The sequence below is a fragment of the Homo sapiens genome, chromosome 5 (genome assembly GCF_000001405.40).
Source record: "Homo sapiens chromosome 5, GRCh38.p14 Primary Assembly".
Lineage (NCBI taxonomy): Eukaryota > Metazoa > Chordata > Mammalia > Primates > Hominidae > Homo > Homo sapiens.
In genome coordinates, this window is record NC_000005.10 from 20302004 (window position 1) to 20327020 (window position 25017).

Consider the following 25017-nt stretch of genomic DNA (forward strand, 5'->3'; position numbering starts at 1 on the left):
GGAATCCACAAAAGGATGAGATGGATACACAGGTTTTAAGAAAAAAAAGGCCACTGGGATACTTAGTATTTGTCCAGATGCAAAACAATTTCAGAATAACAAAATATACACCTTGCTTTAGGCCAAGTATATGATACACTTCATAGATTCTCAAACAAAAGATGAAAATTTCAGTCCACATTAAACATTTTAAAACATAATTCCAGCTGGTACCAGGGAAGCACGTGTGGCTAAGTTGCGACAAACTTAAATTTGTTCCCCTTAGTTCTTCATCTTTTTAAAAGTTGAATAAACTTAACGTCAATCGGGCAGGGCCGGTATTAACAGCATCAGCCACTTGCTTACTATGAATCATCTGCAACAAAACCCCACGTGCATTCTCAATTCTAAAAAGTCAGTGTAAAAATCATGGCCACTTCCTCCCTAGGTGCCTACTATCGCTATGTCTGACAGCATCCTGTAACAGTACAAGCTCACCTCTCTCTGCGCGGATTCATCCAAAGCCACACACTAGGCCAAATTCTCCCAGTGGAATCAAAACACTGAAAGTCGAGCAAGAACCTCATGACAACATTGGCCCAATCACACCTCAGGTACTTAGGAGTTCATCATATTTGATCATAAAATTGCTCCCGGCCCCAAACCTTACACCTAAAGACTGTAGTTTTTAAAAAGCCACTGTACCGTCCGCAATTATTCAGACTACTCTTTTCTAAATGAGAATGCGCTACGCACTGAAGATCAGAACACACACACGTGAGCCCTTGGGCACTGACCCTGAGCCTGTACACAAGATCAGCTGCTACTAGTCTCAAATGATTCATGAGGAATCAAAGTGGAAATTTAAACATTCAATTCTGTATCTCATTCATGTGCCCAGAGACTTCAAAGAATGCTCGTGTTAGTTACCTGACAGCTCTGGAGAAGTGACATGGATATTCGTGTGCATAACCCTGGCTCCCTTCCAAACAGACATATGGAATCTTACTCTTAAAAAAGTAAAAATATTTCAGATATCAAGTGTATATTATACTGCTGTCTAAAGTTAAAGGCAAAATTTACACACGATTTTCTCTTTCATTACCTTATTACATGTTTCCTAGTGAATTCACACGGCTCGTGTGTCAAAGCTCCCAGGCACGTCAATTGGTCATAGTTTTCATATGCGTGGGGTTGATCAGGGTACAAATGTCTATGAGCATCTTCTTTTTCTAGGATGGTCTCATTTGACTTTCATTTCGTAAGGGTTCACTCTCCATGGTGTATATGATAAGCTACCAAATTTGTGCTTTTAAACCCATTCCTGGCAATCCCCCTATATCTTCATTTTGTCTTTGGGGGATAAAGAAGTAACACTACCTCATGAATAGACACTACAAAGCCAAAAAACTCCTTCACAAGCTGTTCGTTTCTTTTTAGAATGAAAATGCATGTCCTGAATTCTCGTGAAGCAGCCCACAGGGTTACAGGCCAATGATTCGAACGCTGAGGTGAACACTTAGTACTCACATTTTAGCTTCAAAATAAAAATAAAGCAGAGGACAAATGCCTGTCACAGCGTCGCAGCCCGGTTCATTTGGTAACAACAAGTCTCACACGTCGGCTGAGCCCACCGGAGAGAAGCATACAGGCCAGCTTCCTTCTGAACACAGCCAGGCACCTGTTCAAAAGCCTCTCTGGTGATGGCGGTGGACCCCAAAACCCACGGGTTGTAAGAGCCTTTGGGAAAGCGAATTGATACCATGATTGCAGTGCTTGAAGAAATCACTTAGGGTTAGTTTAATAAACAAACGAACATTAAAAAATCTTCCAAAAATTGCATTCAAATGTATTTTACACTTTAGGCAGTTCTTAAGAAGGGAGAGTGCGGTTTCTTGACACTTAACATTTAAAGGTTTTATTGGCCACATTAATCTTCCTCTCAAAAGTTTTAAGTTATCTGTAAGTTCTTAGAATGTCAAAGAAGAGAAGAAAAACTAAGTCGAAGGGATGGTGGAAGAAGCAGCAACTTGGCAATAATTCCGCAGCCGACTTCGCGTGTTCAGGCATCCTTTTTCTCCAGTAAAATTTTGTGCAACTCGTCTGCATCCTCGCTGGTGTTTACCCGAATCAACATGGTGACTGGCATGGTGGCATTCTTCTCGTCAATTGGTGGATTTGGAACACAGACAATAAAAACGTTATTTTTCCCTGTTGGCGTACGTGGCATATTGGGTGGAATCAGAGCATTCAGCAATATGTTGCCTAAATTGGTGTCTGCCCGCACCAAAAGCTGTGTCTTCTGATTTGCTGTAGGTTTTAAATGCAGAGTACCTATGACTTTCTCTTTAAATTCATTATCTTTCTTGTAAAATAGTTTACACTTTTTGGAGTAAAAAGCATCTTCTTCTTTTACTTCAGTAACTACTACTTTGGGTAGCTCATGATTCTCTTCTTCATCTCCACCTTTGCATTCACCACTGTCACCTTCCGCTTGGCCCTCCAATGGTTTAGTGCGAAATGGTGAAGAGACTGGTTTACTCTGGTAATATCTTTGCCAAATAAACTGGAGTTTCCAGGGGAGAATGAAAATCCAGTCAGGGGGACAGAGCTTAATGAGCCCAAAACAGAGCTATCAACTTTCTTGCCGAAATTAAATGAGGCACTTGTCGCTCCTAGTGATGATGGGTCCGTTTTCTTTTCAGATGTCAGCTCCACCTTCTTGTCAGGTGTATCTTCAGTTTTGTTGCCATGAAACAAAAACGCTGACTCTTGCTGTAATTTTGTTGAGCCAACAAGGGAAGGAGACCGTGTTTCAGCCGCAGCTTTGTTAGATTCACTTTCAGAATTCCTGCCACTGTTGCCGTGTTGCTGTTCAATGTTTGCTAAATATTTCTCATAGTCTTTAAAGATAGGTGTCAGATCACAGAGGGGGTTTGTATTCACGTGCTTCACTATCCAATCCCGCACGGAGCAGTTCAAGGCGGCCAACTGCTTGTGATAGGCATTTCTGACACAAGCTTTACTGGAAGCAAGGCCAGAGGAGGAGGGCTGCTGACTGTCCCCATTAGTTTTGGGATTTGAAACTTTTTTATCAACCAAGGCGGTAGGGCCATTTGCAGCAAGAGAACCAAAGGCTACCTTGGGCTCTGCCACTGCCTTTGCACTGGTGAAGGGAGGGGCGCTGGTTATGTTGTTTCCATTCGACAGTCCTTCCAAAGGCTTCCCTCCAGCACCACTACCAAATCCAGGAAACCGTCCTCCTCCAGAAGGTACCACTAAACCTTTAAAACTTTTAAAGCCTCCTCTACTGTCAGATTCGAATCCAACATTTCTGCGCTTTGCTTTCTTTATGGCTCTATTCTTCAAGACTTCCTCACTGGCCACAGAGAATGTTCCCACCTCTTCAGCTTCATCTTCTTGATCCCAATTCCTATCTGTCAGTTCCTTCTCGGCTTTTGGCCATGTTTTCGAACCTCCTCAGCGGCCGCCGCTGCACTCGCTGGGTCTTGGGTGCCGCGAAACCCGGGGCGCAGCGGCGCAGGGGTCTCGAGCGGCTGGTGGTCGCGGGGCTGAGGGCGCTCGGCCGCTTCCGGTCCTGCGCTGCGGGCCTCAGAGGACTTGGTGCTCGGCAAACCCAGAGACTCAAACGCCATGTCCGGGGGGTGGGGGGAGCGGCGGTAGGGGAGATCCTCACGCTGTGTTCGGCAGCGAGGCGGCGAGACGCGCCGGTTCAGCCGGAGACCGCTGTGGGAACCGCGCCGAACACGCTTTGGGCGGCCATTTTGTAACTCGAATCTACCCCCAAAACCAATTCGAAAAAAAGGGAGGAAAGAAACGCCCCGACAGTGTTCTGAACTGGGTTGAACACACAAAGGATGCTACAATTTTCCACTTGTATACAGGTACCTATATTAAAACTTCAACTTATTTCAATCCATCATATTTACATTTCTATTTTATTATATGCTGGATAATGTGTTTAATATATTACTGTAGCTGCATATATATACAATTTATCATAACAATATAGACATGTTTTGAGGAACGTGTTAAATCGTTTGCTGAGTAAAAGAGACAGTGCGATCAGAACTTTTGAAGACTTCTACACACAGCCTTGCTTCCTCAAATTCTATCCAGACAAATGCTAATTCTGGTTTTAGTTTTATCAGGCCATGAGGATCAAAACATAAAGGAAAATACATAGAAAATGCTTCAATATAAATTACTCTGTTTCATTCTGTGTTATGACTTTACAGCATTTTGATGTTATGTTCATCTTCTATGAGATCACAGTCCTATTCAATAGCAGGTTTTTTTCATATTTCCAATATACTCTACAGAAAAATAATTGTTGGTAACATTAATGTTGTTAATATTATTGCTAAGAATATTCTTTAGAAATTGCTTAGCCCAGAAAATCCCGAACTCAAAGTAGCCTTTTCCATAGAGTCATTTTTTTGCTTTTGTCTCCGTAATCTACCATCCTTCCCTATACTCTTGGCTTTTAATACTCTGCCGATAGGATTTGCCTCAACAAATGGCTGCATATGTTAATCACACTCTTTAACTCACTAATAAACTACTTTGATACTTGAATAAATTGAAATTTAAATAAGCATTTTATTAAATCAAATGTAATGTTTGTATTGAGACAATTCTAACTGGGGACATAGTTAAACCGTTAGTCCCTGAAGACTTTCCAGAGTCCTGCTAAGGGGAAATCACAAAGGTATGTTTTTAACAGTGAGGGTTAAAATCTCTGTTTAATGCGTCTATTTTTCCCTATATGGAAAACACAAAGATCAGTGATTGATATATTACTTTCCATATTTATTATGGAATAATTTATTGATTTAATTTGTTTAATAATTTATGATTTAATACATGTGATAATTTATTATGGTATAATCAAATTTGTTGAATAACTTGAAATAATTCTCAATGAATTTATGCCATAGTTATAGGAAAAAATAACATTTAAATCATTCAAATAGAAATTCTACTCAATATATATTTACCAACTGTGATATCTTATGAGGAAAATACAGGACATATTAAGAAGATGTGACAGTCTCGGAAATGAGGGATAGCCTCCTGAAATATTATTGGCTTAGATGGGATAAATTATATAATATAATGAGATCTAAGGCAGTATGTGCATGGCAACTTAGAGAGAGAGAAAGCCAGTGTGGTTGCAGAGCAAATTCAGGAAGTACAGAATGAGATGAGATCTTTTATTCTAAGAGCAATGGATATTCATTGAGGAAATTTTGGCAGGGGATGACACCAATAGATTTTTTTTTTTTAAATAACATTTTGGGCTTTAGCATTGAGAATGGATCTTAGAGGGCAGAGTAGATGTGGGGAGACATGTTAGTAGCCTATGGAGTAGTTAGGGGAAGACAATAGATTTACCTTAGATATTTTGTCAACAAGAGACATATAACATTTAATATGCTTTTTGCAGATTTTTCTGTCACATCAAAGAAAACTAAACTCTAAACAATATGAATTAAAGTTAGAACAGCACTAGAGAAGACATGAATTCACACATGTTAAAAAGAAGAAGCAGTGCCTTAGGAGATTAAAGTGGACTGCTTCCATTGTGTTTCACTGGCATGCATTGCCTACCATCTGGAGGGTAAAAATTACTTGGAAAATAGAACCTGAAATGGAATTAAACAATATTTCATTTCCCTTGATATTTATTTTCAGATTAAGCATCAATATCCCAAGTCATAGCCAAGATATAAAATACAGTGTGATTATTGTGTGATTATTATTAAAAACTCTTCCTAATATGTCTCTAAAACTTACAAAATATTTCTGTTTATGGCAGAGTCTCAGCTGACACAGGGTCTAATATTATTAGTCTTAGTTTGTTTTACAATGGTCACTTTTAGTCCTTCATTAACCTTAAACATTTATATTTTCACATATATGAACATTAATGCAAACAATTTAATTTAGAAACAGGAACATTTGTTTTTATTGTTGTTAGCTAAATTGTGTTTTTAAGATTAAAAACTGCACATTAGAATGAAAATATTTTTCCCCAAAGCAGCATATTATTTGCCTCTTTGAATACTACTGCTTTTTTTTTTTTTTTTTTTTTTTTTACTGGTTTTCAACCCATATTTGATAGCAAACTCTTTACAGTTTAAATTTGTTAAATTGCAACGGGTGGAAAGTCAATATGAAAATTCTTGTTCTACTTCTAAAACATTTTTGTTAAACTGATAAGAATAGATACTAACACTTGATCGTAGCCAAAAGGCCGAGGGTGGTGGCTCACGACTGTAATCCCAGCACTTTGGGAGGCCGAGGTGGGTAGATTGCCTGAGCTCAGGAGTTCAAGACCAGCCTGGGCGACACGGTGAAACCCCATCTCTACTAAAATACAAAAAATTAGCCGGGAGTGGCGGCAGGTGCCTGTACTCCCAGCTACTTGGGAGGCTGAGGTAGGAGAATCGCTTGAACCCGGGAGGGGGAGGTTGCAGTGAGTGGAGATCGTGCCACTGGACTCTAGCCTGGCCAACAGGGCGAGACTCAGTCAAAAAAAAAAAAAAATTCTGTGTGAAAACAAAAACAGAGAGGTGAAGTAGTTGCATTGATTTAATAGGGTTGAGAAATGGTGAGAATAGATAAATGATGATAAAAGAACCTACTAAGTTATTAAGGTAAACAAGCATTAGAAATCAAGCAAGGAAGTTGCCAAAACATTACATGTTTATCATCTTTCTTCTAAATCATTAAGTTCCAAGAATTTGGTAGGCAATGACCTAACTCATTTCATTTTTAAATGGCTGTATCTATGCCACATTGAAAACCAAGGTCAGATATACCTAGATATAGACAATTATGTGGCATTTTCTCTATCATCTGGCATTTTGTTGTATGTAAAACTCAAAGAGTCAGTGATTACAGATACCCCTTTAATCGTATAAGGTTTTGATTTTCGTACATTAGAGCACTAAAATTGGGGTATTTATTTATGTTATTTACACTGGATAGAGGATTGGCTCTAATCATAAATGTTAAACCAAATAGTGTAGAATACTGGGAATTATAATAAGAAAACTAAACACACATGTACACACATCGACATGCGTATGTGAGGTAGCTGCTCTGGGAAAAATTTCTTATGCTTAACATCATACTGACAGATCACACTGCTACTGTTCTATCTCATACAAGTTATAGAGAAAATTGTCTTGTTTCACTCTTGAGGGAGGAAGAAACAGAGAAGCATGTGGGATTTTGCTTTGGCAAATATATTTCCTCCCTTTTTCTTTTCATTTATGCCTCTTCACCTAATGCAAGCCTAGTTCAGAATATTAATTGTCTAAATAGGCTAGAAACATCTATGCCCTCGTCCCCGTGGCACACTGTCTTAAAAATAACATGTCCAAAGAATCAGAAAATTTAATTGGTCCTCTTGGTACTAACAACAATAACAAAAGAGAATATAGATTAAAATAATTTTAAGAAAAAAAACACATAAATTCAAAACCCACATGTGACATGATAATTTAATTGTAAGAATGATCCTTGGAAATACATTTTTTCCTATCAGATGATAACTGAAGACAGTTACTGCTGCCTAACTTGTTCAAAAAACAAACACAAAGAAATGTAGGCTAGTTAACATATCACTACATAATGGACATGTGACAGATTTTAGCGGAGCATAAATATCTCCAGCCATTTTTTGGAAGCAATTATAGTCAACTCATATTAAGATTTCTTCATTTACTTTGAGGACATCATAGCTGGGTAGCAAATGATTTTAAAATATGTAGTCAGTGTTTGTTTTACTACTGTTATTAATTTCACATGCATCTGCATATATAGCCATTGTCAAATTGACAGAGTTCTGTCTCTATACTTTTTGTATCTTTACTTTCATTTTCAGAAAAAAATAAAAATGTTTCTTTTGTTTCACTGAATTCTAGTATTTCTATCTAAGTTGCTATCCCTTTATTAAACACATAAAAAAATCTCACTAATAGTTTTTTTCACTGTGTGTCCCCTGATATGGCACAGTGAAAGGAATATGGGTTCTGAAGCCAAAAAAACCTAGTTGTGAATTGTGATGCTGTTAGTTAATATTCTGCAAATTGAGGAAGGTGTCTGTTTCAATAAATTCAATAACTGAATGTTTAATGGAATACATTAAAATAGTGGGTGTTCTACGAGGTTTAACTCATTTTTCTCCTTTATTTTCCAGTAATGATGTTTAAATGACTTATTTCTAAAAACAAACCAGGTCAGAAAACTTCAATCTTATCTTAACACAGCTTTAATTTAATAATGTAAAATATATCTGTGTTGTTTTATTTTTAAACTCCACAAGCATATAGACTGTACTTGTCTCCATGCCCCATTTACCATTATCACTAGTTTGTAATCCACATTTTATCTTTGCTTTAATTGGGGGAAATATACCTAGAAACACACATTAAAATATAAAATAGTGATTAAGAACAGACCAGAATTCTGCAGCCAGAATGTCTGGTTCAAATTCTGTCTCTGCAATTTGTTGGTCATGTGACCTCAGGGTTTTTTACTCGCTCATTATGTCTCATCTGTAATAAAGAGTCTAAAAGTGAGATGAGTTCATATTTATATGTCTTAAAGTGGGGTCTGACCGGTGTAAGTGTTGATTGCATGTTAGATATTATTATAAGCCAATTCCATTAACATTTTCTCCCTCATTCAACTTGTTTTAGTATTTGACATGCTGTGCCACTTACTTCTAGAAACACTTCTTTGTAAGATACATTGAATGCATTGTCCACATTGTTCTTTCTTCTTTTCTGACTACTGGATTGCTCTTCCTCATTGCAACACCAACTGCAATCTGTCATTGCTGTTTTTCTGGTCTCTCTGAATTGTCATGCCCTCAGTAAATCCCCATTCTGCAACTTTATCTATAAATTCTATCCAGTAACGACCAAATATATATCCCAGCCACTTTATGAGTCTTCAATCCCTATATTAATAACAACATTCAAAAGATCATCCTTGAATAGTTTAGAAAAGTTATTAAATTCACCAGACATTGAATTCAATATTGTATACACCCCTGACCCTTAAAAAACAAAACAAAACAAAAACAAACAAAAAAAAGCCTTTCTAACTGAAAAGTCAGGAAACAACAGATGCTGGAGAGGATGTGGAGAAATAGGAACGCTTTTACACTTTTGGTGGGAGGGTAAATTAGTTCAACCATTGTGGAAGACAGTGTGGCGATTTCTCCAGCGTCTAGAACTAGAAATAGCATTTGACCCAGCAATCCCATTACTGGGTATATACCCAAAGGATTATAAATCATTCTACTATAAAGACACATGAGCATGTATGTTTATTGTGGCACTATTCACAATAGCAAAGATTTGGAACCAACCCAAACGTCCATCAATGATAGACTAGATAAAGAAAATGTGGCACATATACACATGGAATACTATGCAGCCATAAAAAAGGATAAGTTCATGTCCTTTGCAGGGACATGGATGAAGGTGGAAACCGTCCTTCTCAGCAAACTATCGCTAGAACAGAAAACGAAAAACCACATGTTCTCGCTCATAAGTGAGAGCTGAACAATGAGAACACAGGGACACAGGAAGGGGAACATCACACACTGGGCCTGTCAGAGGATGGGGGACTACGAGAGGGATAGCATTAGGAGAAATTCCTAATGTAGATGATGAGTTGATGGGTGCAGCAAACCATCATGACACGTGTATACCTATGTAACAAAACTGCACTTTCTGTGCATGTACCCCAGAACTTAAAGTATAATAATATAAAAAATTATTGTATGATACTCCATTATTTTCACATGGTATCAAACACTATTTTTAACATTTTGAAAAAACAAAAAAGCCTTTCACCAGTCTCACATTTTTTTGAAGGAGTCTTACTCCATCTCATTGTAGAAGCTGAGGAAATACTTCTATTTCCCTATTTGCTGAACACATGGCAGGATTACATCCACCCACACTCCCTTGCATATGGGTTTCTTTTGCATGGTGGGTACAATTAGCCATATTCAATGAGTTTTGAGTGGATGCACCATGTTATATCTAATTGTCAGTATTCTTTTTCCCTCTGTCACAGCAACTGTCAACTCACAAGATAATGGCTGCTTCATTAGCTTAGCTAATAACAAAATAGGAAACAAAGTCCTCAGCTAACACAGTGAATGTATGATGAGCAGGATACAAACATTTATTGTAATCGGCCATGAAAACTGTAAGGTTGTTTCTGCAGTATAACCTAACTTACCCTGACCCTACCTTGACTTTCTTTCATTCCTTTCTCATTGTTAACTTCTGTAATTAATTAAATGAGCAAGATAATACATTATGGCTTCCTTTTAAATTAAAATTTTTAATGTTAAAATTAAAAGCAGATAAAAAATAGAAGACAAAAAGTCACCATAAGGGGACTATGTCTGTTCATTTTTACCACTTATTAGGTTCTCGGCATTTGGATGAAGAAATGATGATTTGCTCAGCTGTTCATTCCTACAGACGCCATGCAGCACCTGCTGATTTATAACTCCCAAACCTACTGTGCCTAATGCTGTCCCACTCATATACCACATTTTAGCCCTTCCTTGAAAACTGCCCAGGTCTTTCTACAGTTTGCCATGTCAAAGCCAAAGTCTTCTGTGTGACTACTAATCTTTTAATAATTTGATCAAAATTCATATCCTTATACTCCCCAACTTACAATATTTATTAGTCTTAAAGATAGTTTAGAAGACCCTTAGAAAATCTATTACTATTTTTCAAATTTCCTCTTTTTATTACCCAAATCTGAAGGCTATTCACCATAGTTTTTCCTGTTTCTAAATTTAAGCCATTTTCCTGTCATTTGTATTCTCTTCTTTTTAATCAATTCTTTCTTATTTATTTTTTATTTCTTTAAATCCCCCCAATTATATGAATAATTGTAATCTGCAGTGCTAGAACAATATTTAAATAGCAGGTGCTTAAAACAATGGTTGAGAAAATGAATTAATCCTATTTTTTCAGGAGGTTATAGTTACACATGCAATGGATACGCTCTTGGTAAATAACAAGGATAAATAATTTTGTGTTGATAAAACAATTCCCTGCTTAACTTCAATGAAATGAAAAAAGTTTACAATTTAAGTCATGGTTATTAGTTATGCAGTCAATAGATTTTTCAGGTATCAGAGTTGTTAATTGGGTATTTTAAAATGTTTCCTATTATATTTGTTGCTTCACTGAACAAAAACCTTTTATTCTTAAATGAGATGGTTCTCATTCTGTCATTTCTCTTTCTACTGACTTCCCCTTCTTCTATAACACTAGTGCCAGAACTGGGATAGAGACTGATTTTTTTGTCATTTGATTTGGTTAGTTTCAAGTAAATTTGATCTTCATTTCTTTTCTGAAATTAAAACATCTTTATTGTTTATGTTTTTTTCTCAACCACATATCTGATGTAAAACTGTATTAAAAATACACTCAATAAAGTACCTCCACTGACTTTAACATAAAATTATTGAAGATTAGATTTGTGCTGCAATTGTTTATTATGTAAACAGAGCATGCTTAACAATCAGGTTTTCAGGAAAATAGTGTCAAACAGCCCCCGAAAGAGATTATGAGAGAAGTTTGTAGCAATATGGCTGTTATCTGAGTGCCTCCTTTTAGAGATGAAATGAGGGATAGTGCACAGTTAGAACATGGCTTGATATTCTATTTCTCTGTGTGTGTGGGTGTATATATCTGAAAAAAACTAGATATATGAATTTGTAGTTTACAGTTTTACACACATACATCTATTATGCACACAATCATACACACATATGCATACACCTACATGTAATTATCTTTCAAATTTCCTTGGGTAATCTTATGTACTCAAAGAAGGCGACCAACATGTACATTGCTGCCAAAATACGAGTTACATATTTTGACAGGCACTCTGATGTATCCCTACTTACTTACTTTTTTTGTGTGTTTAAGATAATGAATCTTAACTTACTTGGGATAATATTTAACAATGTGATAGAATATGCAAATCCTCTTAAAAATTTACATACAATTTATGTACAATTTCTAGGATTCTTGGATACTTTGTAGCAAAACCATAGGTGTCATATATAGAACCTTTATTAATTATTGCCTAAAATTATACTTAATCATTATATTTTGTTTTAATATTGTTTGACTCCATTAACTTGAAATTCAAGAATTTGAGTTTCTGTGTTAGCTTTGCTACCAGGAAGGTGTATGGCCTTAGGCTCACTAAAGTCTGAGGTTCTTCAACTAAAGAAAATAATAACCAAGATATTCTACATAAACTCCAGTACAAAGTGCCCACTATAGTTATAAATTATCTATCTTCTTTAACATTTCCTTTCACCATATACATTTGAGCCATCCACTCATTTCTCTTCTTTCTCCTGCATGTACCTTAAGAGAGGAATTGCTGATTTAAAAAATTTCAATTCAGTCACATCAGCTTAGATGAAAATGAATGAAAGAACTAACTACTTTGGGGTATCTGTGGGTATGCATCTAGGTTATTGATAAAGGATCTGTGGTATTTTGCCTACTAAGAACTACTAGCATGGACCCCATTAGTTTTTGAGCACAGCGCTCATTTGCTCAGAGCTTAAGCTTATTTGATAGATGGGAATATTAAGAAATATGTGCTACCACTTTTTTAAAAGCCTAAGTATACACATCATAAATTCTTTTCTATATTGACGTTTTTATTAACACATACCCTCTCTGAATGTATCAAGTTGAATTCTACAAACTAATACATAAATACACAAAACAGTCAATAATCATCTAAAGATTTCTAGATGAATGTATACAAAAATGATGAGAAATTTATTAAGAATAAGTATTTCACAATGTCATTCTTCATAAATAATGTTTATTCCCTTCACAATCAAATGTGAAGTATAGAACAATTATTTACCTAAAATAGTAGCCACTGTGTTAATGTCAGCAGTGTTTACTAATTTGACAGTAGATCAAGAATAGAGTTTTATAAACAGTTGCAAAAAATATCACTGCGCTTATATGCATAATTATTTTTATCAATAATATGTTTAGGAACAAACAAAAAAAGTAACAAGATTCACTTGCATGTCTCCTCCCATCTCTGTTAAAGACACTACCATCTACCCAATTTCTCAAGCAAAGAATCTAGGAGTAGCTCATAATTTGTTTCTTTCTGTCACTCTCCTGGTTTCTGCTGGCTTTATTTCCAAACTCTATCATAAATCCATACAGTGCTACTCTTCATTGCTTCTAGCTCAGTGTTCTATCATCATTTGCAATAGCCTCCTAATTGTCTCTCTGATCCAGCCTTGTTCTACCTAAAATCCATTCTCCAGGCCTTTGCCAATGGTCTTCTAGAAGAAAAAAAGTGACATTATTGTATTCTCTTGCTTTGTGCTTAGTATTCTAATTGATATCATGGAGTCCTGAAACTCTATGCTAAATCCTATAGTGTAAAAGCTCAACTTTTAACAAGGGCCTACTGAGCTCTCTATGATCTGCCTTCTGCATCCTTTTTCGACTTCACCTCTTACCAATCTCCCTCCAACTCACTATACTGCACTTGGCAACTTGCTTCTCCAAAATATGCTTAAGGTCATTCCCACATTGTGGATTTTGCACTTGCAATTAGTTCACTGTGCTTCTAACACTCATCCTCTAGATCTGTATTTGATTGACATCTTTTCATAATTTAAGTCTCACAAAGGCTACTTTGATAACCAGTAACTCTAGATCATAGCTCCATCTTATGTGGCTGTATGGGCATGTACTTATCACTTATGATTAAACATTATCTTATTTTTGGTTTGTCTACTGTTTGTCTCTCTGACTCCGACAAGAATGTAATTTCCTCAAGTGCAGATTTTGTTTTTCATGACTTCATTCCTAGAACTAAGAATAGTGCCTGTCACATATTAGGGTCTCAATGAATACTTGCCTAATGACTAAACTCTAGACAAGCATGACACGATCAAAACAACAATTAAAATAGAAGACAGCATTAATCCTGACTCTTCTAACTAGCAGTGTGAGCTTTGGCAAGACATACAAACTCTAAGGATTAATTTTTGTTTTCAATAAGATGAGAAGAAGCTTTCAAGATTTAATACACTTCCAGTATATAATGATAACTTTTTATTCATTTTGAAAATTGTTAAATCCATGAGTTTAAATATTGTATGATTGTGATGTGACTGGGAATTTATAAATTTGTGTAAATGACATTATCGATGTGGAAAGTGACTCTAAAAACCAGAAAAATGATGTTGAGAAACAGCTGAAACTTGAAATTTAAGATCTCTTATTATCACATAATATTTAAGTGATTATAATATTGTGGTTGCAAGTAGATATTCTAATATTATTGTATTCAGATTACTCCAGTCCTGGCTAGTGATGATCTTCTTAAAAATATAAATTCTACATTGCACAATACACATAATTATTTAAACTTAGTGAAAACACAGTTGTAATTGAGGCAGTGCTATTCGGAATAGAAAGCTGTCAAGTTTATTAAGTTTGAATTAATTGAAAATTATATGGCTTTGTAATGAGATAAGCCACTAATTAGAGCCTCGCATTTAACTTGGAAATGATATGCATTTTGACCTTGGAGAAGAAAGAAGACAACAGAAAGGAGATGGTAGAAGAGAGATATGATAGTAAAGACAGTTATAGAAGGGGAAAAAGGAGAGTAGTCTAAATAGTATTTTAGTTATTGTTTATTTATTAGCATTTACACATAATTTTTCTTTTTACAAAATACACATGATTATTTACCAGTGTTCTGCCTTGAAAAGACTATTAAGCAAGTTTTATGATGTACCATATGTTCATTACTGGATATTTTATGCACTCAATTGTATTTCCTATTCAAGATTTTGATGACCCATTTTATTTTGAGAATGGTAGAGTTTTCATAAAGATAAAAACATAAGGAATCAGAAGGGAGCCACAGATTTAATGAAAAGAGAATAAAACCAAGGCTTATACAGAAAAATTGATATTTTATTAATCATAAAAAATAAATTGTTAATCTACCATTTTTGTTCAAGATGTACTATTATAAATCAATTAAACTTTTTGCTTTTGCCTTTAGAATTTTATCTTTTTTTTGAGAAGCATATATTCCTACAATAAATGTCTAGGCACATCTTTAAATTTCAGCAAATGTCAGAGCAGAACAAATTCTAGGTAAAGCATAAGTCTTTGCTGACAGCTGTGTAAAGAAGCATTTATTTAAATGCAATTTCATATTCTTTGACTTGGAAGAAAAATTGAGTTCATGCCAAAATGAAGGCACCTGTTTTAAAAGTTTATATTAGAGGATAAATCTTTATTTGTTGTAGTTTCTCCATCTTAAAAAGACATGTTATTATTTCTTTGCTCTGGCTTTTGAAGAGAAACAATTCAATATTATATATTTGTAAGTTAAATATTACATGTTATACTTTCAGTAGTACACATATCTATATGGGGGCAAAATCATCTTTCATTGTTTTACATAAACAATTTCCAAAAGAATGTATTTAACTGAGATAGTCATGTGCTTTGAATAATAAGCCTAATATTAGTTGAAATTAGCTTTGACTAATGCTTACAAATTATGTTCAACATAAGCTTTTATGCATATATCAAAATTATAATCTTGGATGACATAACACATTTTAGTTACTATAAAATATGAGATGATTATGTTGATCATGTGACATGGTCTAAATTTTGCAGTTGATAAGCGTTATAGTTACTCACAAACGTAAACCTCCTCCCAGAGGGATGATTAGAATGGTTGCAAGTCCCTAGTGTTTCAGGAAATGTTCTGAGAACTTCTAGCCCCATGCAATGTTCTACTAAAAACTAAAACAAAATTACTTCGATGTTCAACTAATTTTGTAAACTGCTGCATAGTATATTCTCTACTTGGACTTTAAAATACAAAGTAGTTTATTAATGTCATTGAAGATACTGGAGTAATGAAAACTATATAGTTTTTGCTCCAGAACTTGTACAACTTTATTGAGCATGGAGGTGCTATTATGTTTTGTTTGAATTGTTGCATTTTGTAACATCTATTAGCACCTGGTGGAACACTATGGACCTCTGGGAAATGCTGATCTAACTTAAAGTGAGAAATGGAAAATTCAAGGTTATAGAAGAGAAATAAGTCACAGGATCTTTATTTTAGGTTTATTTTTATTGTTTATTATTTCTTTTTACTCTACCAAAGTGGGAGTTTATTTACAAACTCCCAAAAAAGTTACTGGCACTAGTGTGTAAAAAAGACTATTGTCCGAAGATGCCACTATGATTATAAAGCAGTAAAACCTCTCTAAAGTGCCCGGTGTAGTTTGGATCTGTGTCCCCAACAAAATCTCATGTAGAACTGTAGTCCTAGTTTTGGAGGTGGGGCCTTGTGGGAGGTGATGGGATCCTGGGGGTGGGGCTCTCATGAATGGTTTAGTACCATGCCCTGTTGGTACTGTATAGTGAGCAAGTTCTCAGGAGATCTGCTTGTTTAAATGTGTGTGGGGCCTCCTCCCTTGTTGTCTCTTCCTCCTGCTCCCATTATGTAAGAAGTGTCAGCTTCCCCTTCACCTTCTGCCATGACTGTGAGTTTCCTGAGGCCTCCCCAGAAGCCAAGCAGATGGTGACGATGGTGACATGTTTTATTTACAGCCTGCAGAGCCATGAGCCAATTAAATCTCTTTTCTTTTTTTAAAAAATTATACTTTAAGTTCTAGGGTACATATGCACAATGTGCAGGTTTGTTACATATGTATACAGGCAAATCTCTTTTCTTTATAAATTACCCCATCTCAGTTATTCCTTTATAGCAGTGTGAGAACAAACTAATTCAGCACCTTTCCAACATCAGATTTTCTGTCTATTTCCTACAAGGTTCCCTCTCCACCCATGGCATCCAGACCCTAGAAAAACTCTTATTGTGCCCTAGGCTGCTCTACTTGGAATAGGACCCCACGGTCTGGACCCCAGTCTACTTGTTCATCTCATGAAAACTGGGTCTTTTTTATCACTTCCTCACGATCCTGCTATCATTTTCTGACTTCTAACCACCATATTGACTTCATCTGTCATTAAGACACACAGTACTTTTTCTGTCATTTCTTTGCTAGAGATCCCCAATTATTTCCCTTTGGTCAGATGGAGTGCAGATATGCTAACCTGGCACTTGAAGCTCTCCCTGTTTTACCAACCTTCTACTATTTTATTTTAGGTGATCTGTGATTAAGTTAAAACCAAATTATGAGTTTTTTCCAAATATATTTGCTTGTTTTCTCCCCTCTATACCTTTTTGATTCAATTTCAAACCTATCACTGGACACTTCTCACACTTCAAAACTCAATATGAAGGCTGACTCTTCCATAAGCCTCCCTGTATTCGTTGCTTCTCTTATAAAACTCCTCTATTTTTGTATTTTATATTCATATTTGCTGTATTTTAAATACGTTTTCATATTTTCCTGTGAATAGATCAAAGTTAACACATTATTTGTTTCAGATAAATTGCATTTTTAGGGATTTAGCTTGCATAACCACAAAACATGTTAATCTTGATGAATTCACATGGCAGACAAGAGTGTCGAATTAAAATTTGAGGTACATGTAGCTACTCAGCCTCTTTCAGCTTTCATACCCAGATCTCATAATCCATATGACTTTCTCAAAAATGGTCTACGAAAATTGCACATCCAATTTTATAGCAGAGAAACTATAAAGTACTGGAAAAACACTATATATAGAAACAGTCAGAGAACTAATCATTTCTGGGGAGAGTCACTGTATGCAGCTCCGTCTCCCACTCCTGGTTTGGTACTCTAATCAAGTTATGTAATTCTACATTCCAATAATACACTTTAATTAACCTGATAAATACCTAACAAACTTAGTCTTTTGATATGTCTGCATGAATTTTATATTCTCTCTGATTCCAAAGACTCATTGCATTAGATATATCAGGATGCTAAGGACACAATGCCACTCTGCTACTGTGAATTGTGCCATATAAATATTGCTCCCTTTTGTGTTGCCATTGTAATTCCGTAGCATATTTTTGTATCTCTAGATAAAGATCTGAATGTGCTTGTTGGGATGGATTGTTGATGGGGCAAAATAGATTTAAGAATCTTTGAGATATTATATTTATATTTTAATAAAATAATATCAAGAGCTACAAAGACTTTAAAATTCTCTATTCTTCTTTTATATAAGGTACATTTACTTAGATAAACCTTGGTTTTCTCTAAGAATCAGACAAAGAGTAAGACCATTTCAGCATTGTCACACACAAAAAAAAGAACCACTGAGGTGGGTCAAAGAAAAGTGTCCCTGAGGAACTATGACAGGGATGAGCTGGGCAGTCAGAATCCTGAAGTGTGAAACCTGAAACTCTTTCCCTAACTCAACCTAATTTTTTGTTTGGAGCCATCATATTTCTTGGCAGAGGAAAATAGAATGTTGTTCTAAGAAATTCTAGTCACTCTCTTTCTAAAATAGCTTCAATGAGGTAAACAGTCAGTCAGCTTTACACATCATTATCTCACTCACTGCCCCCAGATTTCTCCCTGAGATTCCTCCATTTCTCCAGAGTCCTCCTTCTGAGAAGTTTGCTGTATAGCAAAGGGGCCAACACACCTTAGTCCTGTCTCCAAGGTGAGACACAGAGACCCAGCTCCGTAGCTGCTGCAAAGATTTCTCATCTTTGATCCCAGGATACTGGCTCTTTCCTGTGGCCCATGAGGGGACTGATGGAGAACAACCACGGCCACCCTTCAGCCAACTGCACTGCAGGCAACTCTAGTGGCCAGAACCTGTACATAGTATGTACAGGAGTCTTTTTGTCCCCTGGGAAACCTATTGTAGCTGTTTGGGGTGGTGCATGGATAGCCAGCTCAGGCTTACTTTTAACCAATGAAAACTCACTCCTTCCTGTATGCATTTTATGGAAGTCTCCACTTGTATCCTCTCTTTTCCATTATTCCCTCTCTTTCCTTGGCTTTCTCTTTTTCCGCTGGAAATACAAAACATACTTTACAGATTTCATAGCTCTGCAAACTCAGCAAGTGAGTGTTAATTCCTTATATATAGAATAACATCTTCATGTTAAAACAAGATTTTCTCTAGAGCCTTCTCCAACCAAGGAGAAGAAGAGGCAGAAATCCATGCCTGGTACCATCAGCTGCTTGCTAAAACACAGTTTCCTAAACTTCCATCTTCTTCAGACTCAAAATCTCCTTGATCCCTTGCCATGTTTTACTTCCTTTGCAACACTGGATGTAGTTAGAGTGTCAGACACCAGGGACCAGATAACATATGAGAATTAGTATCTATTGTTCTCAGCCATAAGCCTCCTTCCCCTACCCAATTCCTTCTAGCTTGGGACGAATGGAAGGAAAAGTCAAGCAGAAACTTAGGAAAAAAGAAATAGCCTCCTTCATGGAAATGTCATTTCACATTACTTTTTTTAAAAGCTTTATTCTTGTATAAAAAAAGTGCTATACTCTTTTCTATTTCATTTCTGTGATTATTAAATTTACTGTCTCAAGGTTGCTTCCACAAAACTATACCATTCCTTTCTTCCTTTTCCTTTATTCTCTCCTTTCTTTCTTTCCTTTTTCTTTCTTTTTAACATTTCCTTTCCCATAATTTCCTTCAGATATGTTATTGACATAATCATAGCTATTGTCCCCTGTACATCCAAAGAAAGCAAAGCAAAGAAAAAATTCATTGCACTCAAAATCATTACTAGAAACTTTTAAAGCCCCAAAGATAATTTACTTATTATCAAGCAAGACCAATGTCCAACCCTGTTCTCATCTTCCTAACATGAGCAGAGCAAATCCTTCAGTTTTTACAAATTTGCCCAAAGCCTACTTTTTCATATATTTATCTTTCAAGGCTTAATTGATATATTTAAAATTCATTTTACCCAAGCATAAAGATGCTTGGCTAAGAGAACATATCTGTGGTTACAGGCTTTAATTAGAAAAAAAAGCCTGCAGGAAAAGTCTCATGGCACAACAACATTATATGCAGGAACAGAGTGCATGGTTGGAAGATGGATTTCATCTTCCTACTGTAAACCTAAATATTCAGGTGTTAAGAAGAATCTGAGAATGTGATGTTGTATCTTGCATCACTGAATGGAAACCACTGATTTCAGTTGAGTCAATAAGAGCAGACTAAGTGCATTCCAAACACCAATTGTTCATAATGATATTAATTATTATTATAACTATTGCCATCCACAATAAAAGAGAATGATAACTAAAATTAAAGTTGCTCAAGATCCCAGAAAATAGACATAAATTGCTCACATGTCATTGTATATAATTTAATTAAAACAAGATATATGTTCTTGTCAAGCAGATATGAGGAGTGTGTCAGCCCTGCATCTTAGTAACTCTATGACATTGGAAAATGTCCTTTAGTATTGATGCTTCAGTTTTCTCTTCCTCAGTTTACATGTTAACAACATCATTGTGTCATGGTAAGAAATAAATGAGATTGTTTATATAAAGTACTAAAAAGTGCCTGGCACAAAAGTGCTCAATAGATGTCAACTATGTTAGACTAGTCTCTCTTGTAAAATTCAAGATGAGTTATTAACTAGAAGGTTCTAAACTGAAGCTGCAAGAAAAAAAATATAATTCTTCAAAGAAGACAATGAATGACAAAAAGCCGCTTGACAGAGCAATTCTAACTACTTTGGGTTTTCATAGTGACACTTTGAAATTATTGTCTTCATAAAGAAATGTGTTATGCTAAGTATCTAAAGAAAATAGAATAATCAAGAGAATTTGCAAGACTTTTGCCATTAACCAATTCCTTTTGTGAGACTGAATGTCAAAACATGAAAAGTAAACCAGTATTGTAATTAATATAAAAATCTAGATAGAATATCCTTTGGTGCAACAAAGAATATGGCATTAATGGAATAGGTTTTAAAAAAAAGCAGGTTAAAATGATATGACCTGGATATGGTCTGTATTTAATTTCAGTTGTGAACACATTCTTAAAGATAATTCACACGGTGAATGAAAAGAATCAAGCACTTGAAAACAAGCTAAGCAGGAAGAAAATTAACATATTTTAGGGCTAGCTGTAATCATCACAATGAAATGTCTTAAATCTTGTATTTGTTCATTAGAATACAACTTAGCAGTACAGCCTTAAGTACATTATACTAATATTAGATTGGTCCCTTGTCTCTAGGCCTAAAAATTACATGAAAGGGTACTCTTTGTGATGACTGTATCAAGATTTATTTTTTTCTTGAGTCCTAAACTTGGGTCCTTCATTTATAATTTATGTGACTGACATAGCATTTGCCTTTCAGAGATTATATTATACATTTTTAAAGCAAGTGACTTCATTCTGTTTTAAGAGAATGTACTTGGCATTAAACAGTGCATGAGCTACTTTTATCAGAAGTACTGTTTTGTTTGTTCTATGTGTTTGAAATTCAGTAGAGTACACAGATAGTAACATATGTTTTTCAACTCAGTTTAAATAGAAAATCATGCCTAACTGACCACATTATCACCCTGTGGCTTTCTGGTATACATCATATCCAGAGAGAAGTTCTTTTTCTCAAATTCCAGTAAAAATTGTGGCACTAAACTATCTTAGTTCTTTTGCATTTATGCATTTGAAGTGTGATGCATTTTGTTCTCTAAGTGCTATAGTAAGCAACTGCTGTTCTGAACATGTTTTGTTGTAATTATTTTTAAGCACCAGAGACATTATAGGAAATATATAACACAGATATAAGAATTATTTTTCTTTCAAATATCCAGAATTCTTGTGCTCGATGTCTTAATTCACCTGAAAGTTCATAACAGAATATTCTATGTAAATGTTTGTATAGCTGACCTTATGGAAAGCAGGTCACTTAGTGTCATTAGAGTAACATACTAATGACACAAAAGTGGCAGATTAATCTTCTTTCACACATCCTACTTTTGCCAGTGCCCAAAGTTCAACGGTTTTAAGATTACAATTTTAAAATCAACTAGTTGTTTTCCAAATATACTACATCGATTTAAAAGGGAAGACCCAACCCACCACCACTCAATGTGTAACACACTGGATCAGTTCAAATCAGTGTGCAGTTGTGGATTTTGTATTTTTAGAATACAGACTCTAATTATCTCTGAAAGCTGAGCAATTCATTTGTAGGGGGAAGGCCGGGCGCGGTGGGTGGCTCACGCCTATAATCCCAGCACTTTGGGAGGCTGAGGCAGGCGGATCACGAGGTCAGGAGATGGAGACCATCCTGGCTAACATGGTGAAACCCCGTCTCTATTAAAAAATACAAAAAAATTAGCCAGGCATGGTGGCGGGTGCCTGTAGTCCCAGCTACTCGGGAAGCTGAGGCAGGAGAATGGCAGGAACCCGGGAGGCGGAGCTTGCAGTGAGCTGAGATCAGGCCACTGCACTCCAGCCTGGGCAACAGAGCAAGACTCCGTCTCAAACAAAACAAAACAAAACATTTGTAGGGGGAAATATTGTGTCAGACTTCTAAAAAAATCCCTCAAATATTCATGGGAGTCTTTACTGAAAAAAACAAGGCATCATTTAGCATAATCTTTCAATTATTTGTTTCTATGGGTGAGGGGAGGGTAAAATGTAGTAAGAAGGTTCTATGTTGTTTACAGTCCAAAGACATACAAATTCTACCTGGTGAAGGAACAGTCTGACACCAAAAAACACAGTTTAGCTAACAAAATAAAACTATAACAGAAGGCAACTTAGTATCTATTTATACATTGATTTCAGCATTACTTTTCTATGTGTATGTGTGTATACACCTTTAAATTAGAATCAGTTGTAACATCTTATTAGTTCCCTTATTAATGAATATGTTAAAATTGCCACCTCCTATTTATATTTGTATGAGAATCATGATTTTCCATTTAAAACCTATATCCTTTAAAAATTACTTTCTCTGAGCCCAAGCTTGCTTTATCTATCATTTGGGAATGATAATAACACCTAACCCGTGGTATTTAAAGAACCGAATGCTTTTAAGGTTTGTAAAGTTTCTAGTTCCCCGTTGGCAATGATCAGACATTGAAAAATAGTTACTAATAGTTTTCTTCTCTCCGATGAATGCCTTTACTCTGTTTTATTAAACCAATCTTTAATAAGTTTCCTTTGTATGGCCATCCTCCATGAACTGAATCCCCCCAGAACTGAACCCTTCCATCCTCTTAGCTTCTGTTGCAATTTCTACCACATCACAATAACTTGCTTAGGTATCTGCCTTTCCTAGTATATTGTATCCCACTTGTGGACAGAGATAAGACAATGTCTCCTTTTTCAAAAACTTGTTCCATGGGCTATACACGTATCATGTCTTACATGTTAATTCAATGGAATGGCAAAATGACAGAAAATAAATAATCAGAGCGAAACAAACATTTCTCTACCTCCAACTTCATCCACTGTGACCCTATGACCGCACCCTTCCGCCACCCATCCCTCATTCTTAGGGATCTTTTCACTATCATGTTTGCCTTCTGTCTTTTATTTTCAGTCCATTAGATCACTACTTCAGCATTTATGTGCTTTTCTTTTCTGTCTTTAGAAAAAAAAAAGAAATAAAAACCACTTTCTGGGGAATCAACTCAATTTTCTAGCTGAGTATCATTTTATCACCTTCTTTCCCTTACAATCATCCTTTCCAATGGTTGTTCATATTTACTGTTCATTGCATTTTATATTCTCTGACATCTGGTTTCTGCTTATAACCATAGAGTTATCCCAAGGCCATCTATGACATCTACATTGGCCTATATTATAATAGGACTCTCAGCAGCATTCAGCATTGTGAAAAATGAGAAACACCCTTCCCTCTTGGCTCCTGGGTGTCATTTCACAAATTTCCCCCAACTTTATTGAGAGCCTCTTCTTAGTCTTCATTGCTTCCTCATACTTTTCCTCCCATGTTTAAATATGCTCAGGCACATTTCTGAGACCTCTTCACATTTTACTCTAGATACTCTTTCTGCAAGATCTCACTCTCAGTGATAGCTTTAATAACCATCTAAAATCTCATCCAAGTCATTAGTTCTCAACTTTATACATTAACATCACTTAGGATGTGCCAATACTGTACCTATAAGTTATCAGTATTACATGGGGTTTCTAGATCTTTATGAAGTATACCAATGACTCTAATGTGCAAACAAATCTGAGAATCCCTGGTATAGGTGATTATCTACACTAATGGCTTGTTACCATTTATATATTTTTAAAGTATCATTTATCATTTAAAAATTATATTATTCCCAATAGTCTTTACATATACTCTTGAATATTTTACCCAACTCTCTAACTACAAACTTAAATTCAGCTGCAAACAAGTGGGTAACAACAAGGGACCTATGATTAGAGGAAAAAAGTCTGACTGAATCAAATCATTTGGCAATGTAGATGGAATTTTTAAAATATTAAACATATTTACTTTTTTTTTTTTTTTTTTTGAGATGGAGTCTCGCTCTGTCGCCCAGGCTGGAGTGCAGTGGCGCAATCTCAGCTCACTGCAAGCTCCGCCTCCCGGGTTCACGCCATTCTCCTGCCTCAGCTTTCTGAGTAGCTGGCACTACAGGTGCCCGCCACCACACCCGGCTAATTTTTTGTATTTTTTTTAGTAAAGACAGGGTTTCACCATGTTAGCCAAGATGGTCTCGATCTCCTGACCTTGTGATCTGCCAGCCTTGGCCTCCCAAAGTGCTGGGATCACCGGCTTGAGCCACCGGGCCTGGCCACATATTTACATTATTTAAGTTTTGAAACTGAATGTAAATATATGTTACAGTTTTAAAAAATAATTGCACGATCTAGTTAACAACTACTTTCTGTAAATGACAGAGAGTGTCATAGACGGGTGAATGTACTGTGACCCTTGTTAAAACACACTGTGTTAAGTGTATTTACCACACGGTTA

At 35.9% G+C, this 25017-nt stretch overlaps 1 protein-coding gene, 1 long non-coding RNA gene and 1 pseudogene across 10 annotated transcripts in view; 1 reads left to right on the top strand and 2 right to left on the bottom strand.

The window, feature by feature from the left end:
- Positions 1-3822, bottom strand: NUP50P3 (nucleoporin 50 pseudogene 3; annotated as a pseudogene).
- The window catches only part of CDH18 (cadherin 18), a 1104418-nt gene that overhangs the window by 830708 nt on the left and 248693 nt on the right, over positions 1-25017 (bottom strand). The gene's annotated exons all lie outside the window — the stretch shown is intronic.
- CDH18-AS1 (CDH18 antisense RNA 1) overlaps positions 3548-25017 on the top strand; it is a 26896-nt gene continuing 5426 nt past the window's right edge. The window contains exon 1 of the long non-coding RNA NR_146519.1: positions 3548-3884. This is a non-coding gene — a long non-coding RNA (CDH18 antisense RNA 1). The remainder of the gene's footprint in view (positions 3885-25017) is intronic.